General features: G+C 43.7%; 1 protein-coding gene and 2 long non-coding RNA genes across 10 annotated transcripts in view, besides 3 other annotated features; 2 read left to right on the forward strand and 1 right to left on the reverse strand.

Annotated features, from left to right (window-relative positions):
• TTLL11 (tubulin tyrosine ligase like 11) overlaps nt 1-16342 on the reverse strand; it is a 277635-nt gene extending 261293 nt beyond the window's left edge. For all 8 annotated transcript variants that reach the window (XR_001746188.2, XR_929721.4, XR_929720.4 and 5 more), the window contains exon 1: nt 15721-16342. Coding sequence is in view for 5 of the 8 variants with exons in the window: in XM_047422825.1 (XP_047278781.1) it covers nt 15721-16182 (462 nt within the window). In the remaining 3 variants the exon portion in view is untranslated. The remainder of the gene's footprint in view (nt 1-15720) is intronic.
• On the forward strand, nt 6422-14313 carry LOC124902262 (uncharacterized). Its single transcript, XR_007061755.1, has 3 exons — nt 6422-6630; nt 11391-11547; nt 14071-14313. It is a non-coding gene; the product is annotated as an uncharacterized LOC124902262 (long non-coding RNA).
• Nucleotides 15870-16583: an enhancer, noted in NCBI's record as "H3K27ac-H3K4me1 hESC enhancer chr9:124855115-124855828 (GRCh37/hg19 assembly coordinates)". NCBI's record gives its function as "activates a minimal SCP1, AML or CMV promoter by ChIP-STARR-seq in naive H9 embryonic stem cells {active_cell/tissue: H9 hESC(naive)}" and the evidence as "EXISTENCE:reporter gene assay evidence [ECO:0000049][PMID:30033119]".
• Nucleotides 15933-15982: a silencer, noted in NCBI's record as "silent region_20239". NCBI's record gives its function as "represses an Ori minimal core promoter by ATAC-STARR-seq in GM12878 lymphoblastoid cells {active_cell/tissue: GM12878}" and the evidence as "EXISTENCE:reporter gene assay evidence [ECO:0000049][PMID:35858748]".
• Nucleotides 16333-16522: an enhancer, noted in NCBI's record as "active region_28926". NCBI's record gives its function as "activates an Ori minimal core promoter by ATAC-STARR-seq in GM12878 lymphoblastoid cells {active_cell/tissue: GM12878}" and the evidence as "EXISTENCE:reporter gene assay evidence [ECO:0000049][PMID:35858748]".
• Nucleotides 17166-18434, forward strand: LOC124902263 (uncharacterized). Its single transcript, XR_007061757.1, has 2 exons — nt 17166-17206; nt 18208-18434. It is a non-coding gene; the product is annotated as an uncharacterized LOC124902263 (long non-coding RNA).
• Nucleotides 18435-20522: the final 2088 nt, after the last annotated feature.

Raw genomic sequence — 20522 nt, forward strand, 5'->3', positions numbered from 1 at the left:
AGACTGACAACTGACTTCTCAACAGCAAAATGGAAATGAAAAAACAGTGGCATATCTTCAAAGCGCTGAGACCCTATAGCTATCAACTTAGAACAGTATGTACAGCAACACTATTTTTCAAGAACGAGGAGAAAATGAAGGTAATTTTGGACAAATAAAAACTGAGTTTATTAAAACATACTTCCAAGAGAAAGGAAATGACCCCAGAAGGTAGGTCTGAGTTGTAAAATAGAATAGCAAACAAAGAAAATGGCAAATGTGGGTAACTCAAAAGGACACAGACTATATAAAATACCAATAACGCCTAATTTGTGAAGTTCAAAAAAGAATAAGATAGGACTAAAATATTGGACAACAAACGCATATATGTTGGAAGTGATGTGGCCAAAATGAAAAAGCATACTAAAGATCCTTGCATTGTTAAAAAGAGAATAAAGACAGTAACCTTAGGCTTTGTGAAATTATACACACATATTAAATTTTCTAGGGTAATCAATAGAAGAATAAAAATAGAATATGTAACTTCCAGACTAGTGCAGGGAGAAAATGAACAAGAAAAAAAATCAATTAAAAAAGATATGAAATCACAATCACAGAAGAAATTTTTAACATAACTCTTAATAGATCAGACAAAAATCAGGGCTATAAAATTTATATAATACAATTCACAAGTTAATCTAACACACATATGTAAAATATTGGACAAAAATCAGGGCTACAAAATTTATATAATGCAATTCATAAGTTAATCTAACATACATATGTAAAATATTGCTTTCAATAACTAGAGAATGCATGTTGTTTTCAAGCATACATGGAACATTTGCAAAAACTGACCATGTATTAGACCATAAAGCAAAAACCTGCAAAAAAAAAAAAAAAAGATGGGAGGAAGGAGGAAGGAAAGAAAAAACATCCTCTAACCACAATGAAATTAAGTTAGAAATTAATAACAAAAAGATAAGTAGAAATAACCTTATTTGCTTAGAAATGTTCTTGAAACACAAATCTAAATAACCCATGGGTCAAGGAAGAAATCTTCATGAAAATGTAAAATACATAGAACTACAAGGTGATTTTTTAAATACTGCATAATAAAACTCATAGGTGTAGCTAAAGCAGTAGTTAGAGGCAAATTTGTAGTCTTGAGTGCTTTTATTAGCAAAGCAGCCAACTTAATATTGGAAAAAGAACAACAAAATAAACCTCAAAAAGTAGAAGAGAAGAAGTAATAAAGAGCAGCAAGCCATGAAATAGAAAAAAAGATACAATGGAGATGATCAATAAAGTCAAAAGTTGCTTCTTTGAAAAAACTAATCAAATTGAGATACATATAAAATACTCTAAATGACCCAAGGAAGGGGACTTAGCCTAGCCTGGGGCATGTGTGTGGGAGTCAGGGAAGATATATGGAAAAGATGAGGTAAAACTTAATTCTTGAAGGATACGTAAAAAGGTAGCCAAACAAAGGGAGGGAGCATTCAGAGGAGGAAAAACATGAACAAAGGTCAAGAGGAATAGCACAGCATGAAGGCTCAAGCAAACCACATGCAGTGTGGTGTCAGTAGTGCATAAAGTTCAAGGAATATGGGAAATAAGCCTAGAGAAGGTTAGGGCCAAGTGTTAATTTTTTTAAATATTCAACTGAGTCTTCATTATGTACTTGGCACTTTACATGATTATAGCTTTTTATGCTGGCAATAAATAACTCCATGAAATATGGTTGTATTATGCCCATTTTACAGAAAAAGAAACTGAGTTTCAGAGCAAAATATGCCAAAAGCTACACATTGAGTTGTTTCAAACCCCTATCTGTGTAGGTCTAAAGCTCATGCTTACACCCACCAAGACATAATGCATCTTGGGTTGTGAAAAGCATCATATGGAGCCTTCATAAGGAGTCTGAACTTTGTTCTTCAGGAAAATATTCAAAATTTCCCTGAAAAAAACAAAGCTCATTCTTACGAAGAAAGTTTAGAGTACTGTTACAGCTTCCATCAGGTTGCATACTACCTTATGGTGGACATTTGGATTGTTTCCACTTTCTGGCTATTGTGAATAATGCTACTATGAACATTAGTGTACAAGTTGTTATGTGCACATATGTTTTCGTTTCTCTTGGGTTTCTCTTGGGTATATATCAGGAGAGAACTGCTAGGATGTTTAACATTTGAGGAACTGCCAAATTGTTTTTCAAAATGGCTGCACCATTTTACAGCCCCACCAAGAGTGTATGAGGGTTCCAATTTCTCCACAACCCTGCCAACATGTACTATCTGTCTTATTTATTATAGATAACCCAATAGGTATGAAGTGGTATTTCACTGTGGTTTTGATTTTCATTTCCCTAATAGCTAATGATGGCATATGACATTTTAATGCAGCTCTTAATGTAACCCCCTCCCCCTTTTTTTTAACTCCAGAAATATTTTGACAAAACCTAAGAAATCACCTATCAAAACTGGCTGGGTGCAGTGGCTCATGCCTGTAATCCCAACACTTTGGGAGGCTGAGGTGGGTGGAGCATGAGGTCAAGAGATCGAGACCATTCTGGCTGACATGGTGAAACCCCGTCTACTAAAAATACAAAAAATTAGCTGGGCGTGGTGGCGGGCGCCTATGGTCCCAGCTACTCGGGAGGCTGAGGCAGGAGAATGGTGTGAACCCAGGAGGTGGAGGTTGCTGTGAGCTGAGATCGCACCACTGCACTCCAGCCTGGGCGACAGAGCAAGACTCTGTCTCAAAAAAAAAAAAAGAAATCACCTATCAAAACTTTTGGCAATAAAACTGCCAAAGTATGTGAAATGCTTAAGCCCTACCTCTGGGTAGAAGATCAGGGATGACATAAGGAGTTAGAACTAATGAGAAGGTCAAGGATGAGCCAGGCACAGTGGCTCACACCTAGAATCCCAGCACTTTGGGAGGCCGAGGTGGAAGGATCACTTGAGGCTAGGCGTTCACGACTAGCCCGGGCAACATAGTGAGACACCACCTCTTTTTATTTTAAAAATAAAAAAAGAAGGTCAAGGATAAAGAGAAAGCCAAGCATGTCTACTGAATACATTATTTGAATATTAAAAAGAGTGAGTTTACATTGTGATATGGCTGTTTCAAATTAGGCATAATGGCCACACCAAAATAGCCATATCAAAATGCCCCACTTTGAACTATGCACTTATGATTAGAATTAAGTATTTGGTGAAGACAGGGCCCATAGGTTGGAGAAGATTCATTTGTTTCACTCTCTTCTCCAGTATTTGTCATTATATTCTTCAAAAGTAAGTATTTATAGGAACCCTCAGAGCTGAGCATAAATTGCTAAAACTATTTTGGAAAGCAATTTGGCCATATATTCCAAAAGCCTTAAAATGTATATTCCGTGTGGTCTAATTATTTCATTTTTGGAAAGTTAGCTTAAGAAAGTAATATGAAATATGCTGGGTGCAGTGACGCACACCTGTAATCCTAGCAATCTGGGAGGCTCAAGCCAGAGGATCGTTGAGGCCAAGAGTTCAAGACCAGCCTGGGCAACATATGGAAACCCCATCTCTACAAAAAAAAATATATATATACAAAAATTAGCTGGCATGGGGGCGCACACCTTTAGTCCTAGCTAGTTTGGAGGCTGGGGTGGGAGGATCACTTGAGGCCAGGAGTTCAAGGGTGCAGTGAGCTATGTTCATGCTGCTGCACTCCAGCCTGGGCGACAGAGTGAAACCTTGTCTCTAAAGACAAAAAAAAAGAAAAAGAAAAGAACATGAAATATAGGAAGGAAGCACATTCCTGAATAATTTTTAATAGAGGGTTCAATCTAAACATTTAATACCAGGAAAATAAATAATGAAATACAACCCACAGAATGAAATATTTTGCAGCAATTAAAATGACATTAACAAAAAGTTGTATAGCAAGGAAAAATGTTTAAATTATAATGTGGACATTAATGTTAATGATACAATAAAATTGTATCAGATTTGTAAAACAAAAAAATATATATGCCCAGAAGAAATACTGGAAAGAAATGCTTCAACGTGAAAGCAGTCATTCCATCTCAATGGTAGGACTATAAATGTTTTAAAAATATTTTTTCCAAATTTTTAAGCAATGTACAAGGATTATTTATATAAGTGAGAAATGTGCTTTTTAAATAAAACCAACGTCCAGGCTCAAAGCCCAGTCCTGCACTGAAGGACTTATGTAAACACTAACTGTGATGTTCTTATTTCTAAAGGGGCCAGGAACTCACGCTCTCTTCAGAGGAGCAATACGGTCCACTAGAACAAGACCTGGCCTACAAGCCAGGAGAGCCAGCCTCTAGATCTAAGCTGTGTGTCTCTTAACACCTCTGAAGAGTGGAAGAGTTGAAAGAGAACAAACACTGATTGCGTACTGACTTTGCCATACATGTTACCTATATGATTAACATGGAATAACCCCCTAAGTACCATGATGCCCCATGTGACAGAACTAATATGTGGTGGGGATTCAAACCCAAATCTATAGATGCAGGGACATCTGTACAACAGAAATAATGAAATCTACCATACTTACTGCACAAAGCCAAAGTCATGTTAGATAAATCTATGTGAAAGTTTCATATAAAATATCCAGTTCCATGGATATGTAAAACTCTAAGCCTCTCCACACAATCTCTTAATTCACTGGGTATTTCACAGCACCTGAAGGCAGAATTCTGTGTTTCTTCTGCCTTCTTGAGCTAACAAGTCAAAAGTAATTAAGGACTGTTTTTAGTGAATGAGAAGAAGAAATTTTTTAATTGTAATGTGGATCATGCAAGGCAAATGATTATTTGGTAGACATTTAAATAACCAACAGGGGGAAATATTTACAATGCATATGAGATAAAAAGTAACCATAATATTTACAAACCAATGAGAAAAAACATAAACAAAACAATCCAAAAGATAAAATGAACAAAAAATAGATTCAGTCATTTCACAGATGAAGCAAGACAAATGACAAATTAACTTATGCAAAAAGTTTAACCTTGTTGACAATCAGAGAAATGTAAATTAAAAGAACACATTTTTACCTGTCAGTCTGGCAAAGATACACAAGATGAATAGTATACAGTATTGGAGCAGATATGCAAAAACAGGCAGTCTCAAACCCTGCTGAGGGCAATTTGATAGTAACAATCAAAATATAAAGTACATATGCCCTTTCACCCAACAATCCTAGGAATTTATTCTACAGAAGTATTTGCACAAATACACACTTAAAATGTCTGAAAAGGCCAGGTGCAGTGGCTCACGCCTGTAATCCCAACACTTTGGGAGGCCAAGGGAGGCAGATCACTTGAGGTCAGGAGTTCAAGACCAGCTTAGCCAACATGGTGAAACCCCGTCTCTACTGAAAATACAAAACAGCTAGACATAGTGGCACACACCTGTAATCCCAGCTACTCTGGAGGCTGAGGCACGAGAATTGCTTGAACCTGGGAGGCGGAAGATGCAGTGAGCCAACATAGTGCCATTGCACTCCGGCCTAGGTGACAGAGCGAGACTCTGTCTCAAAAAAAAAAAAAAAAAAAAGAATCTGAAGAGTGATGTTTATTGCCCCACTCTTTGTAATAGCAAAGAAAACACATAGAAACAACATCCGTCAATAAATTATGGTATATAAAATGGACTATTAGGTTGTTAAAATGAAATGAATCTATATATATTAACAGAGAAAGATGTATATGAGGTACTGCTAAAACAGCAGTTGCCAAACACTATCTACGTGGTATAACTGCAGCATTTTAAAAAATGAAATATCTGCTGGGTACAGTGGCTCACACCTGTAATCTCAGCACTTTGGGAGGCTGAGGCGGGAGAATCACTTGAGCCCAGGAGACTAGCTTGGGCAACATAGCACAATGCTGTCTCTACAAAAAAATATAAAAAATTAGCTGGGCATGGTGTGCACCTGTAGTCCCAGCTCCTGGGGGGCGAGGGTTGCTGAGGTGGGAGGATGGTTTGAGCCCAGGAGGTGGAGGCTGCAGTGAGCCGAGATTGCGCCACTATACTCCAACCTGGGCGACAGAGCAAGACCCTCTCTAGAAAGAAAAAATAAAATATGTGTATATTTATATTTATATACAGTATATATTTGTATCTCTACATATGATATCATGATGGTAATTAGCACAGTTTACCAAATAGCCTGATTCTCCTCTTTACACCCTCATGGTGGGACTGCGCATCCCCCATCCCTCTGAGGTTAGCCATGACCATGTAACCTGCTTCAGCGAATCAAATCTGAGCTGAAGTGATGCATCACTTCTGGGTAGACGTTTTAAAAACCAGTGCAAATTCACCACCACATGCTCTTTCCCTCCCTCAGTGACTCATGAAAGCAGGTGTCACAATGGGAGACCACGATCTCAATAACCAAGATGATGAGAGACCCCTGCTCCCCAACCCCACCAGCCCACATTGAACCCAAAGCATGGGCAAGAAATAAACTTTGGTTGTATTAAGCCACTGCTATTTTATGGTTCTTACCATAGCACAATTTAGCCATCCTGATATGTACAAGAATAAGAAAAAAATCTGGGCCAGGCACGGTGGCTCACACCTGTAATTCCAGCACTTTGAGAGGACAAGGAATGCAGATCACAAGGTCAGTAGTTCGAGACCAGCCTGGCTAACATGGTGAAACCCCGTCTCTACTAAAAATACAAAAATTAGCCAGGTGTGGTGGCATGCACCTATACTCCCAGCTACTTGGGAGGCTGAGGCAGGAGAATTGCTTGAACCCGGGAGGCAGAGGTTGCAGTGAGCCAAGATTGCATCACTGCACTCCAGCCTGGCTGACAGAGCAAGACTCTATCTCGAAAAAAAAGAAAGAAGTCTGTAAAGATACATATCAAATTGGGATTCTGGTGTCACCTCTCAGAAGTGGAATTAGAGGGGAGGATGGAAAGGGAGGGGGATGGGGTAGGTGGTTTGTTTCAGTTTTTATTTTATATGCTTGGGAACAGTGTAAATTTTTATAAGCATATATTATTTCTGGAATTGGAACGAAGTTATTTATACATAATCTAAGATGTCCAAAAAATGGTCCACTGTTGTTTTTTAAAATTCCAATAACCCACAGTTCTGACACAATGAGAAATAGAATCTCCCTATGAGTATAAAGAACAAAATAGGAAAACTGGCCTTCATCAGAGTTCTAGGCAGATGTACTGAGGAACTTATTTGAAAAGCAAAACCGCACCCAGGGAAGACTACACAGGAGATAAACTGCCTATTCTTCCAGCTTCATTAAGGGTGCGAAGGTTTTATTCAGATGACAGAGAAGCATATGGGAGAGGGAAGGAAGCCGCCAGAAATGCCTGCAAGTACTTATAAAGCATTTATAAAAATTACTAGATAATGGTTCAGAAACACCCAGGGAAACAAACACGCATGCAAATGGCAGCGGCAGCAGCTGGCAAGGCACAATTTGATACGAGGAGGAAGGAGAGATGCAAGTCCTCCTGGAATAGAGAAACCTAATCGTTCTCTCCAGCAAAACAATAACCTCTGTGGAGGAATCTCAGGGACGTGACTCGGCTTCAGAGGAACAACCACAAGGAAAGGAGGGGTTCAAACCTAATTAGAGGATGGCAAGCTGATCTGCCTGTTCACATCATCCATTTTTCTGTTACAAAATTTAATTAAGATGTCATAGAGATTCACCAGAGGGAAAGTCAAACCAACATGTATTCTTACTTTAAAGTGCCAGGCGCTTTTAAGATTTTCTGGCTTCATCCTCACAACAACTAGCTAGTATTTTATACTCAGTCTTAGAGATGAGGTAAAGCAACTTGTCCAGGGGCACGGAGCCACTGCGTGACCCAGAAAATTTGTATCTTTTCCACACAGCTGGTGGGTACTTTCATGTAGAATAACATCTGTTTTCCCTGTGAAACCCAAAGTCAAGATACTGATGTCACTTAAACGGCTAAAACGAGTTTCCCGTGGCGATGTACATAATTAACATACCAACGTATGAGACAGGCCAGGCGCGGTGGCTCACACCTGTAATCCCACCACTTTGGGAGGCTGAGGCGGGCAGATCATCTGAGGTCAGGAGTTCGAGACCAGCCTAGCCAACATGGTGAAACCCCATAGCTACCAAAAATACAAAAATTAGCTGGGCATGGTGGTAGGCGCCTGTAGTCCCAGCTACTCAGGAGGCTGAGGCAGGAGAATCGCTTGAACCCAGGAGGCAGAGGTTGCAGTGAGCTGAGATCGCACCACTGCACTCCAACCTGGGCAACAGAGCGAGACTCCATTTCAAATAAACAAACAAAAAACAAAGTATGACATAGGCACCAGGTCCAGAATGGAGACTTTAAAACATTCAATTAGACTTAGGAAACTTTAGAAGTATAATTGATTTAAAAAGAAAAAAACATGAAATCAGTATTATTTTTTAACATCTTAAACCTAGACTACATCAAGTTGACATTCACCCAAAATGCAACTGTCCCTTACGCTGCAGCCATCTGTGAGTGGCTGTGTCATCTGCTGTATCCCCAAGATCCCAAATACAGCCTGGCACAAAGTAGATCTCAAAATATCTATTAGATAAGTCAAATTAGCTGGTCACACCTGCTCTGACTAACCAATAACATACATATATGGACTACATTTTATATTAAATTTTCCCCCTGTTTAAGAAAAAATAGATCAAATAACCAAGCCTGTAATTACATGATAGAAAGAAAACAATCAACACTGAATACCTACAGTGTGCCAAGCATTGGGTTAAGTCAATTTACATACATTCCCTCATTTACTCTCACAAAAATTCTGTGAGATAGATAGCACTAGCCCATTGCTACAGCTGAAGAAACTGAGTCTCAGAGAGGTTCTGTATTTAGTACAGAGTTTAGTCACACAAGCAATCAGAGGCAAGGATTTTAACCCACATCTGTCTGATTTCAAAGCCCATGCCAACTACAAAATACAACACTTCCCCTTGAGAGAAGGCACTTAAACAGTGGTCGATTACTTTTACAATACGTTCAAGAACAGATTTAAATAAAAAATAAAATGCATGATTAAATTTTTGCCTTAAACTTCTGCTGATACAAAACCAGAATCCAAAACACTACCAAAATTGTGGCACAATACACTGTATGTTTTATAACACAGAAAACAGCCTAACCATTACAACACCTGCTTAAAAACACACAGACACGATTTTAATTTATAGGAGTTATAGAGCTTGAATGTGAGCCCCTTGAATTTATTGTCTTTTAAAGGACTGTTTAAGGAGTTGGTGTGGATTCATGAAGCTATTACCCGAATTGTATCGTTCAAATAACAATGGTAGTGAATTGTGATTTTTATGTTATGACAAGTTTAACTTGCAAAGGAAAAATTCCAATAGATTAGACATTAAAATAATGTATCTGTGGAAGGAGAACATTTGATGGAGTAGGGCATATAGTGTTTTTAAATATGGTGCTTTTTTTTTAAATGGGCAGTAAGTTGCAATGGCGGTCATTGAAAATAGAAAGGGAGGAAAGATTAGACTACCCAATATTTCATTTTATACTCTACCTTCTTCCAGAAGGAATCTGAGACAGAAAGATTCAAATAGCAGGCTCACATTCCACAGAGGAGGAAGGCAACCCAGCTAGTCAAATGGCACAGGAATTGCATCTCCCCTGTGGGCAGCAGCAAGACAGGATTTGGAAGGTGCAGGCACCAAATGCTCCCTCTGCCAGGCAGGATATATTTCAGTGTGTTTTATTTTAAGTCCTATTTGCATTATTGCTCTCCTGATTCTGACCAACTCCAAGGTCACTTGAATTATGGGTCAAATGAGGAATGGGAGGGTTAAGAAGTAGAGAATCATAAAACACTTAAAAGTGGGTTTTGGAACAAAAAAAGGCTACTGTTTGAACCCTGACTTTCTCACTTACTTGCTGTGCCCACCTCAGTTTCTTCTGCTGTTACTTGAGAATAGTAATGATGATAGTGATGATAATAGAATAACTCCTTGCAGAATGGTTTTTGCAAAGGATTAGCAAAGAAGAAGGTATATGATTGAAAACTGGCTACAAGCCCAGGCCCTGGATGGCTCTGCCACTGGTTATCTGTGTGGCCATGGGCTGGCCCTGTACCGGCCCCTCTCTAAGCCTCAGTTCCCTCATCTGTAAGTTGAAGATGACAGTGCAGTCTATTTTAGAGGGTTTTTGCAAGGATTAAATAAATAATGCATAGTAAATACTCAATACAATTTTTTTTTTTTTGAGACAGAGTCTCACTCTGTTATCCCAGCTGAAGTGCAGTGGTGCGATTTCAGCTCACTGCAACCTCCGCCTCCCGGGTTCAAGCAATTCTCGTGCCTCAGCCTCTCAATACAATTTTTCACGAGCATAAAACAGTACAATGCCTTGCACATAACCCCTATTTAATAAACAGTAACTAATATTATACAAGTTGTAAGTAGGACAATATAGTAAGTGTATACTTGTTCTAAAGAAAGGCTGGATAAATTTCAGGGAACAATGCATGATTTGGAGTCTCTGAAACAAAGACTTTATACTATAATAGATCTCAGGACAGGGGCTTATTCAAACTATCATCAACAAAGGTCCCGCTATGAAATCTCTCAGGGCCCTCATTCACATTAGCTGGTGGCCATGGCACCACTGTGCACATAAACACAACCTACATCTCCAAAGAGGGCAGCTCACAACAAAAGTGGCGTCTACTCTCTATGGTGTCTTTCCTCTAAGGTGTTTTTTCATGAGGGTAGCAAAATGACAGAAGCATCCATGGGAGATGGGGAGTCTTCACAGGATGGGAAGAAGACCATACAAATCCATAAACATTGAGCATCTGCGGTGAACCAGAAACCATGCCTTTCTTTCATGTTGCAACATCAGTGGTGACTCTGTAAACATGATTTTGCTATTTGAGAGTAACTCCAGTCTTGTCTACAAGTTTACAGAGCTAACATCTGTGATCCTTCCCTTTCAGAAACAAATTTAACATTGTGGACGCAGTTAAATTAGACCTGGCCAGAACGGGTATGACTGCAAACTGAATCATCTGAGGGCTGGCATGGTTCACTTGGGACTGAAGGAGAGTGGGCAAGGGAGGCCGGGTCTATATATGGCAAGCAATCTGTGATTAAATTCAGTCAGAAGCGCAAGCTTCTTGGCATGGCCTTCACCATGCTCTGTGATCTGGCTTCTTCATCGCTCTCCACTCCCCCATATGCTCCCTCAGCTGCCATCATCCCATCCTGCATGTAAAACCTGGTCCATACTGCCTGCCTTGTTGTTCCTACTCTGTATGGAACATCCTTGAATCACTCACCTCCCAGACCAAACTGTAACTGTTTGTTTGCATGTATTCCTCCTCCTACACCAGGAGCTCCTGGAGGGCAAGGAGTGTATCCTGTTCACATCTACATCTGCGACCTCCAGCCCAGTGTTTACCAATAGAGAGCACAGAATTGAAGCCTGGTTTCAAATGGAATGCATATTTCAAATGCTAGCTCTGTCCCTTACTAGCTATGTGGCCTCAGGTAAGTTAACCTCTGTGTATTTCCATGTTCTCATATGTAGAACGGACACAATAAGGCATTTACTTTACTGAGCTGTTGGGAGAATCAAACAATTGTATATATGTAGAGCACTTAAAACAGCACCTGGAACAGAGTAAGAGCTATATAAAGATTTATTATCATGTTGTTGTTGTTGTTAAATATATGTGGAATAAGGAAAAGTGAAAAAGGAGCCAGGGGTGGTGGCTCACGCCTGTAATCCCAGCATTTTGAGAGGCCGAGGCAGGCAGATCACTTGAGGTCAGGAGTTCAAGACCAGTCTGGCCAACATGGTGAAACCCCATCTCTATTAAAAATACAAAAATTAGCCAGGGATGGTGACACATGCCTGTAATCTCAGCTACTCAGGAGGCTGAGGCAGGAGAACTGCTTGAACCTCTGAGGCAGAGGTTGTAGTGAGAGTGCAGTGAGCCAAGATAGCACCACTGCACTCCAGCCTGGATGACAGAACGACACCCTGTCTCAAAAAAAAAAAAAAAAAAAGTGAAAAAGGAAGCGAGATTGTGTGCCCTGCAGCTGAGCAAACTTCTGAATTCACATGCTGGCTCAGTCCTACCCTGTTAAAGTGGACGGTGATATATAGCTCCTCACTATGCACCCATAAAAGGAGACACAGCTCTCACTCTGGTTGGTGTTCATGACCTTATTTCTTACCTGGGCTACTCATCCACTCCCACCAAAGCCAGCCACCTGAGTACTCCCCAAACCCACAGCAACACAGCATGGGCTGCAAGAGATACTGTTGCTCACACCCTTGCACCACAGCCCCCAGTAGAAGTTCTTGCTCCTAAAACAGCGCTGGGAGTTCAAGATGATCTCATCCAATATCACCTCATAACAGATGGGGAAAGGCAGGCATAAGAAAGGTCATGTGTTTGCACTTTGTTAGTACCAGGGATATATATATATGTTAGTTTTCATGCAGTCAACTTTGTAGGAGGTACTAAGAATACTATAATCATAGTTTAAAGCAGGAAGGAACTTTAAAGTTTAGCTACTCTGGCACTTTTCAACCTCCACACTAGGGTGTCAAGATGTGATGTAAGCTCTCTTGCAAATATTCCATAATTCATTTGATGAATATTTATTGAGCACCTAGAATATGCTGTGCATTAGGGACATAAGTCAGATACCACCCCTGCCCTCAGGACTTCATGCAGTAATGAGGAAGGGTGACAGTAATAATCACAAGCCTAATAGTAGAGTCTTATTGTTGCAAGTGAATTGTTTTTTTAATTTTCAATATTTTTTTTAGAGACAGGGTCTTGCTCTGTCACCCAGGCTGGTGTGCAGTGGCACAATCATAGCTCACTGCATCCTTGAACTCCTGGACTCAAGTGATCCTCCCACCTCAGCCTCCCAAGTAGGTGGAATTACAGGCATGAGCCACCACATTCAGTGAATTATGTTTTAAAATATACTAGAATAAACATCTCCACCTATATGCCAATGTGTTCTCTGAGTGGGAAAAAAAGGGCAGGGTTGGAGGTGGAAGAAGCAGTTACAGGTAGTGCCTTGGAAAAAGCCTACCCACTGGGGGTGACCAGTGCAACAGTCTCATGTAGATCAACATTACCATTATGCGGCTACCGAAGTAGAGAGTAGATCAACATTACCATTATGCGGCTACCGAAGTAGAAAGACTGGAAACTGCTGAATTAGCTCTGTCCACCCCTACTTTACAGATAAGCAAACTGAGGCCTCAAGGGTTTAACTGACTTGCCCTGATAAATGGAAGAACATCAAAATTCTGTTAATGGCTCACATAGCCTTCCTCCCCAAAACAGGTCCAAATCCCATCGCATGGCACATGATCTGATCCCTGCTCATTTCTGAAGCCCCATCTCTTACCACTCCACCTCCCACGCTATGATCCGGCCATACTCAAAGTCCTGAAAGGGCCTCTGCTTTGCCCACACCACTCCTGCAACCAGGGATCCAAAGTCCATGACCCTAAATAACTCCAGTTCATTTTCAGCACTCACAACTCAGCTCGGGTTTATTTCCTCCAGGAAGTCCTTCCTGGGTGCCCCTCCTCTACCTCCCGCAGCATTTCTCCTTTCACACAGAAACACTCATCACATAATGTATTCATTCATTCAACGAATATTTATTGAGCAACTTCTGTGTGCCAAGTACCTGCGGGTACAGCAATAAACAAAACAAAGCCCCTGCCCTCATGGAGCTTACATTCTAGTGAGGGAAACGACAATAAACAAGCAATACATAATATAATGCCTGGCGAAGTTTAGTACTATGGAAAAAAAATAAATACCAAGGGCTGGAGATTGATGGGGAAGGTATCATCTAAAGAAGTGACAAGAGTAAGCCATGCAAATAAATGAAAAGGGAGAATTTCAGGATGCAGCAGCAATGTAATGACCTGTAATGACCGCAATTATTCCTTTACTTGTGTTTTATTCCCTATTGAACCATGAAGTCCTTGGGGGCAAGGGTCACATCTTAAGTATGTTTGGTTCCCAGGGCCCAGCAAAGAACTTGGCACCTCCAAAGTGGACATTTACGGAATGAGTGAACGAACCTGGGCTGGGATGTATTAGTCCATCTGGCCCCATCTCTCCGAGCAAACGAGATCTGGCCTGCTTTATGTCTCTCTCTCCCACAGGGATAAGCTAAGTGGAGGCCCCACTTGGGCCAATCTGCCTAGCCTGACTCCATAGCCTGGTTTTATTTGCTGGATTCTCCCTTCATTAAGACCACGGCACTGACAAGTTGTCCAGTTGTACCTTTTCTAGCCCTCATATCTCTGGCCTGGACCTGGGGCCCTGCCTAGAAACCCAGATACTTTAGAACTGAGAGCCTGCCTTTGTTTTCCCCAAGTTTCCCCAGCATGAAAGTTCCCCTCTGAATCCCAAGCCCCAAGGCTGGGGGCCCAGACACTTGGAGTCAAACTTCCCCAACGGCTACACCCTATCCACCTGGAAGTCGGTTCTGCCTGATCCTTGACTTCCCTCCAAACCAAATGCACTTTTTCCTATTGGGACATCAACCCTCTGACCACATCAGTCCTTTCTGTGGCCATCTCTCTGTATGTTCCAACTTAATGAAACCATTACCGAGCATCTACCATAGCCAAGGCACAGGGCTAAGAACCTGAGTCCTCTGTTACCCGCAGCAGATCCCTGTTACCACTGGCTGTGTCCACACTCAGCTATCCTTAATCAAACTCCTGACACTCCTGAAAGCACATTAAATACCTTATATGCTGCAAATAAAGTCAAATGGCTTTATCCACGTAGCCAATTGCAACAGACACCTCTAGAGTCACTGGTGCTACATTCCATCCCCTGCCAGTCTAAAATGGGCTCAGGGATGATAACTCATGTATTCATTCACCCTTTCATTCACTGCTTACTGACACATGCCGTAAGCCAAGCCTGGAATATAAAATACAGTGCCTGATTTTATACCACTGATCATGAGGACAGTGGTGGTGCTGGTGGTGGTGATGGTGATGATGGTGGAAGAAGAGAGAAAGGAGAAGGTGGTAACGTAAGTTACCATTTATTGCAGACTTGTGCTATAAAACACTAAGTAGTGAGTCTTCTAATGCTAACAAGATGATGAGATAAGTATAATTGGCCTCACTTTACAGAGAAGGTAATAGGCTGAAGAGGTGAAGCAACTTACTCAAGGTCACACAGCTAAGTAGCAAAGTGTAGTGAGACCCTAGGCCTGTCTGCCTCCAAAATAAAAAGTGTTCCTCTGCCCAAGAGTCACACAGCAAGTGCTAAACAAATATAACTTCAATGAAGAAGTGAGAGAGCGGGTCCGGGGCCCCAGGGGCTTACAAGCTGGTGGAGGAGACAGACGTACACATATCTACAAGCAGAGGCAAATGCTGATGGCTGAGACATAAAAAGAGCTGCAGGGAGGCAGAGGAGTGAGTGGCTAACTTGACCTGGAGGGGTCTGGGGGGCCCTCTTGGAGGAAGTGATTTTGGGGGGTAGGCCTTGAAGGATGAGCACTTTGCGGCTGACAAGCAGGCCCGAGCGTGGTGCACCGCAGGAGCTCAGCCCTCGCCCGCCGACCTGACCTGGGCCGTGCCGAGACCTCTGAGGTCGTCCTGTCCACCCCACTGTGCCCACGCGGCCGGGTCGGGCCGGGCCTCACCTCCTTCCACTTGAGCTGGCGGATGCTGATCTTCAGGGCATCCAGGGAGGTCCTGGCCTTGGAGCTGTCCACGGTGACCGGCCGCTGGGAGCCGTTCTCGCCGGAACCGTGGCCCGAGCTCCGCTTGCAGCTTCGGCCCTTGTCCCGGGGCTTCCCGTGCGGGCAGAGGCCCTGCACCGGCTTCGGCTTGGACGGGGGCAGCGTGGGCGGCGGCCGCTGAAGGACCTGGGTGTTCCCCTCCTCAGCCGCACTGGGCTGCGCCGGGGCCGGGGCCAGGACCTTGGGCTGCTCCTCCCCTGCCTTGCACTCCGGTTCCCCGGCCGCGCCCGCGTCCACGCGGACCTGTTCCGCCACCGTCTCCGCTGTGGCCTCGGCCTCAGCTTTGGCCGCCGCTTTGGCCGCAGCCACCGCCTCCGCCTCCCACCGGGCCGCCAGCTCGCTCTCGGAGCTGCCCCGCCGCATGGTGCTCAGGGCCGGGGCCAGTGCCAGTGCCACCGCCGCCGCCGCCGCCGCTCCGCCGCCCCAGTCCGCCACCAAACTGCCGCCGCTGCAGCCGCTGCCACGCGTTCCCCGCCCGAGCCCGTTGCCATGATCGCTCAGGCTCGGGTTGACAGCGGCAGTCACCGCATCGAGACGGGGTCCGGGAAGGGACAATCGCCGGCCGAGCCCCAGCGACCTCATAGGCGAGGCTGCCCACGTGACCCTGCCTGTCACAGAGGCAGCGGCGGCCATGTTGGAAGAGGGCAAAGAGCCGCCAGGACCCGCCCACCCCGCGGATGCGCTGGATCTCGAGGGCGCAGAACTCGGAGTGGCGAGGAGAAGCGGGAGGGCAGATTGAGCGCGCGTGGGGCTCGTGAGCCTGGGGACTGGGAGTAAAAACAACTACCTCAAGCAGGAGGCTCAGTCCCCGCCAACACTCGCTGGGATAACTCTCGATAGGACGGAGGAGGAGCCCCCCAGTGGGACCCTCCTCAGTGCAATGGATGGGACCCTCCTCAGTGCAATGGATGGGACCCTCCTCAGTGCGATGGATGTGAGCAGCCCAGGCCCTAGGGGAGCAGAGAGTGTTCCGCTGAAGAAACCCTCTGCTGGTCCTTTGAGCGCCCCCAGATAAGAGGGGAGGCACTTTTCCCTGTTCTCAGGGAGCTCCCGATGGGATGGGGAAGTCATGGGCATGGGTAAGCCCCCTATAGATTCCCACTCGAGTTGAGGATATTAACGATTTTTTCTTTTTCTTTTCTTTTTTTCTTTTTTTTTTTTTTTTTTAGACAGGGTCTCTCTCTGTCGCCCAGGCTGGAGTGCAGTGGCGCGATCCCGGCTCACTGCAGCAGCCTCAACTTCCAGAGCTCAAGGGATCCTCCCACCCCAACCTCCCGAGTAGCTGAGACTACACGAATGTACCACCACTCCCGGCTAAGTTTTGTGTTTCTCGTAGAAACGTGGTTTCGCCATGTTGCCGAGGCTGTTCTCAAACTCCTGACCTCAGGTAATCTGCCAGCCTCGGCCTCCCAAAGTACTAGGATTACAAGCAGAACCACCGCGTCTCTTGTTTTCTTTTTTGTTTTTGTTTTTGTTTTGTTGTTGTTGTTGATGTTGTTACAGAGTTTCGCTCTTGTCGCCCAGGCTGGGATGCAATGGTGTGATCTCGGCTCATTGCAGCCTCCGCCTCCCGGCTTCAAGCAATTCTCCTGCCTCAGCCTTGTGAGTAGCTGGGATTGCAGGAGCCGGCCACCATGCCCGGCTAATTTTTTGTATTTTTAGTATAGACGGGGTTTCACCATCTTGGCCAGGCTGGTCTCTAACTCCCGACCTCAGATGATCCACCCGCCTCAGCCTCCCAAAGTGCTGAGATTACAAGCGTGAGCCACCACGTCCAGCCTGACTGCTTTTACTTATATCACTTTTTTTGTTGTGGTAAAATATAACAAAATTTGCCATTTTAACCATTTTTAGTGTACAATTCAGTGGCATTCTGTATACTCACATTGTTGTGCAACCAGCACCACTATGGGTCTCCGGAACTCTTTTATCTTACCAAACTGAAACTTTGTGTCTATGAAACAATAAGTCGGGATTCCCTTCTCTCCTAGTCCCTGGGAACCACCATTTCTACTTTCTGACTATGAATTTGACTATTCCTGGTTCCTCATGTCAGTGGAATCATACAGTATTTGTCTGGCTTATTTCACGTAGCATAATGTCCTCAAGGTTTCTCCATGTTGTAGCATGAGTCCAAATTTCACTCATTTTTAAGACTGAAAAATATTTCGTCGTGTGCATACACCACCTCGTTTTTATCCATTCATCTGTCAATGGACTTAGGTTGTTTCCACCTTTTGGCTATTGTGAAGAATGTCGGTTAACATTGGTATACAAATACCTGTTTGAGCCCCTGCTTTCCATTTTTGGGAGTTGCCATCATTTTAAAGCCAAACCAAGGAGAAAGCTCTCCCCTCCCACCTGAGGGAGCCGCATTTGTTTTTTTAGGAAGTGGGGTTGAGAAGGTGTAACAGCACCCCAGACTGACCACAGCGGCCACGACTGCACACAGGGGAACTTTGCCTCGCTCGACACTACAGGGTGAAAGAAACACAGAAGTTGTCAAGGAACGTGGCCCCTCTTCCTCTCTCATCTCTCCAGGTGTCTTGTTTCTTTGCTTTAGTCCAGGGGTTTCACTTGCTGAATAAACTGCCTTGAAATGTCCAAGTCATAAACTTAAGAGATCCAAACCTCCTTTTTAGCAGCAGAGGGCGCTCGCATCTGTTCCCTTCATGACTTTGTTTCAGAGTTTCTGTAAGCATGGTCGTCTGGCCACTTGCATGGGAACAACCCGGGGTGTTTATTTAAAATGCAGGCTCCTGGACCCCACCCCCAGAGACTGTGATGCAGCACATCTGGGTGGACCTGGGAATCTGCATGTTAAATTAGCTCCTCCGCTGATTCTAAGGCAGCGGAGGCAAGAACCACTCATAGAGTCTGATGCAAGTCCTCTGGAAATTCTTGGAGCTGTCCGTGGTATCAGTAAGAAGGCCTCACTGTCCCCCCATTTCTCTCCACAAACCTACCCCCCAAATCCTGTCCCTCCTCCTGGTGTCCTTGATCTCAGCAAGTGGCACTACCTTCATTCAGTCATCCATGCTTGAAATTTGCCGAGATCGCGCCACTGCACTCCAGCCTGGGCGACAGAGTGAGACTCGGTCTCAAAAAAAAAAAAAAAAAAAAAAAAAAAACATATATATATATATATATATATATATATATATATATATATATATATATAAAAACTGGGCATGATGGCATATGCCTGTAATCCCAGCTACTCGGGAGGCTGAGGCACAAAACTCATGAACCCAGGAGGCAGAGGCTGCAGTGAACTGAGATCGCGCCACTGCACGCCTAGGGCAACAGAGCGAGACTCATTCGAGAGAGAAAAAGAGAGAGAGAGAGAGAGATCTCCTCTTTCCTCTCTTATCTATCTCTATCATCACCACCCCAATTCAGGCTTCTGCTGATAGCTCACCTCCAGCTCTGCCACACACCCACCCATTCTCCACACCAGACCTGCCACTCTCCTGCTTAGAAACCTCCCCTGGTTTGTCACCATCTACAGATAAAGTCCAAGAACATTGATTGTCCTAAGAGGCCCTTCCTGATTACAATTTCTGAAATCAACCCCTCTCCCTGCCTCCATGCCTTTGTAAACATTGTTCCTTCTGTCTGGACTTCCCTTCCTTCATGTCTGTTCTTAGACAAACTTTTCCCAGTGCCTCAGGCAGAAATAGTTACTCTCTGTGCTCTTCTATTCACACCCATAATTCTCATCCACAACTCTCAACCCTGGTCTGTCTGTCACACTATCTAGAAATCATCTCAGCCTCCACCATTAGTCTGGGCAAGAACAAATCTTGTCTGATTCATCTCTGTATCCCCATCTCTTGGGTCTTGGAACACAGTGGCCCTTGCTTTGTTCATGGTAGTATGAACAAAGTAGTATGGATGTATTAATGAATGAGTCATTTTCAGCCTCATATGTCAAATCTGTAAGGACAATCCCATATAGAAATATTCATTTTGGCTTCACATCCCGAGACCTCTTCTGCCTCAGGGCCTTTGCACATGCCCTCTGCCTTTCTTTAGATCTCTGGCTACTGCTCCTTCATTATTCAGTGTAAATGATACATCTGCACAGATACCTCTGATCTCTTCATCTAAGTCAGACTTATTCAGATGAAATAATTATGCAAGAGAGGAAAATAGGAGGTGTCATGAGGGAGTATATGATTAAGTGCCAATGAGGCAAAGAGTAAAAAATAAAATTCATCCAGTAGCTCAAGAAATAGAGAATTTACTGTGAATTAGAAAGCTAGACCAGGCTTCCTATAAGAGAGAGACTATAAGCTGAGTCTTCGAGGTGGAGTAGGAATCAGGTTGATAGAAAGCTAGGTGGGGTGGTCACTGAAGAGCTATGGATAGGGCTGCTGCAGTCATGCAAGAGGCCTTGCGGGCGTTGAAATCCAATGTGTGCAAAGCCTCACCCATCATGGCTTTGGCCATGGGATGGGGGTGCTTTTGCCCATTGGCTTAAAGACTCCCAGGGCTCATGGAGGCCCTGTACTGAGAGGGAAGATGAAGAAAAGGTGAAGCAAGATTTAAGAAGGGGATAATCATCTGCTTCTTCAAGAGGGCAGGGAGCAGACTGGACCAGTTGAAATACAAGCCTCTGAGCAAGGGAGAAAAGAAAGGAAACAAGGCCCACTTGAGCCCGACTGTCAGGTCTTTGAATACCATGGCACCCTTGACTT

Source organism: Homo sapiens, chromosome 9 (genome assembly GCF_000001405.40).
Source record: "Homo sapiens chromosome 9, GRCh38.p14 Primary Assembly".
Classification (NCBI taxonomy): Eukaryota; Metazoa; Chordata; class Mammalia; order Primates; family Hominidae; genus Homo; species Homo sapiens.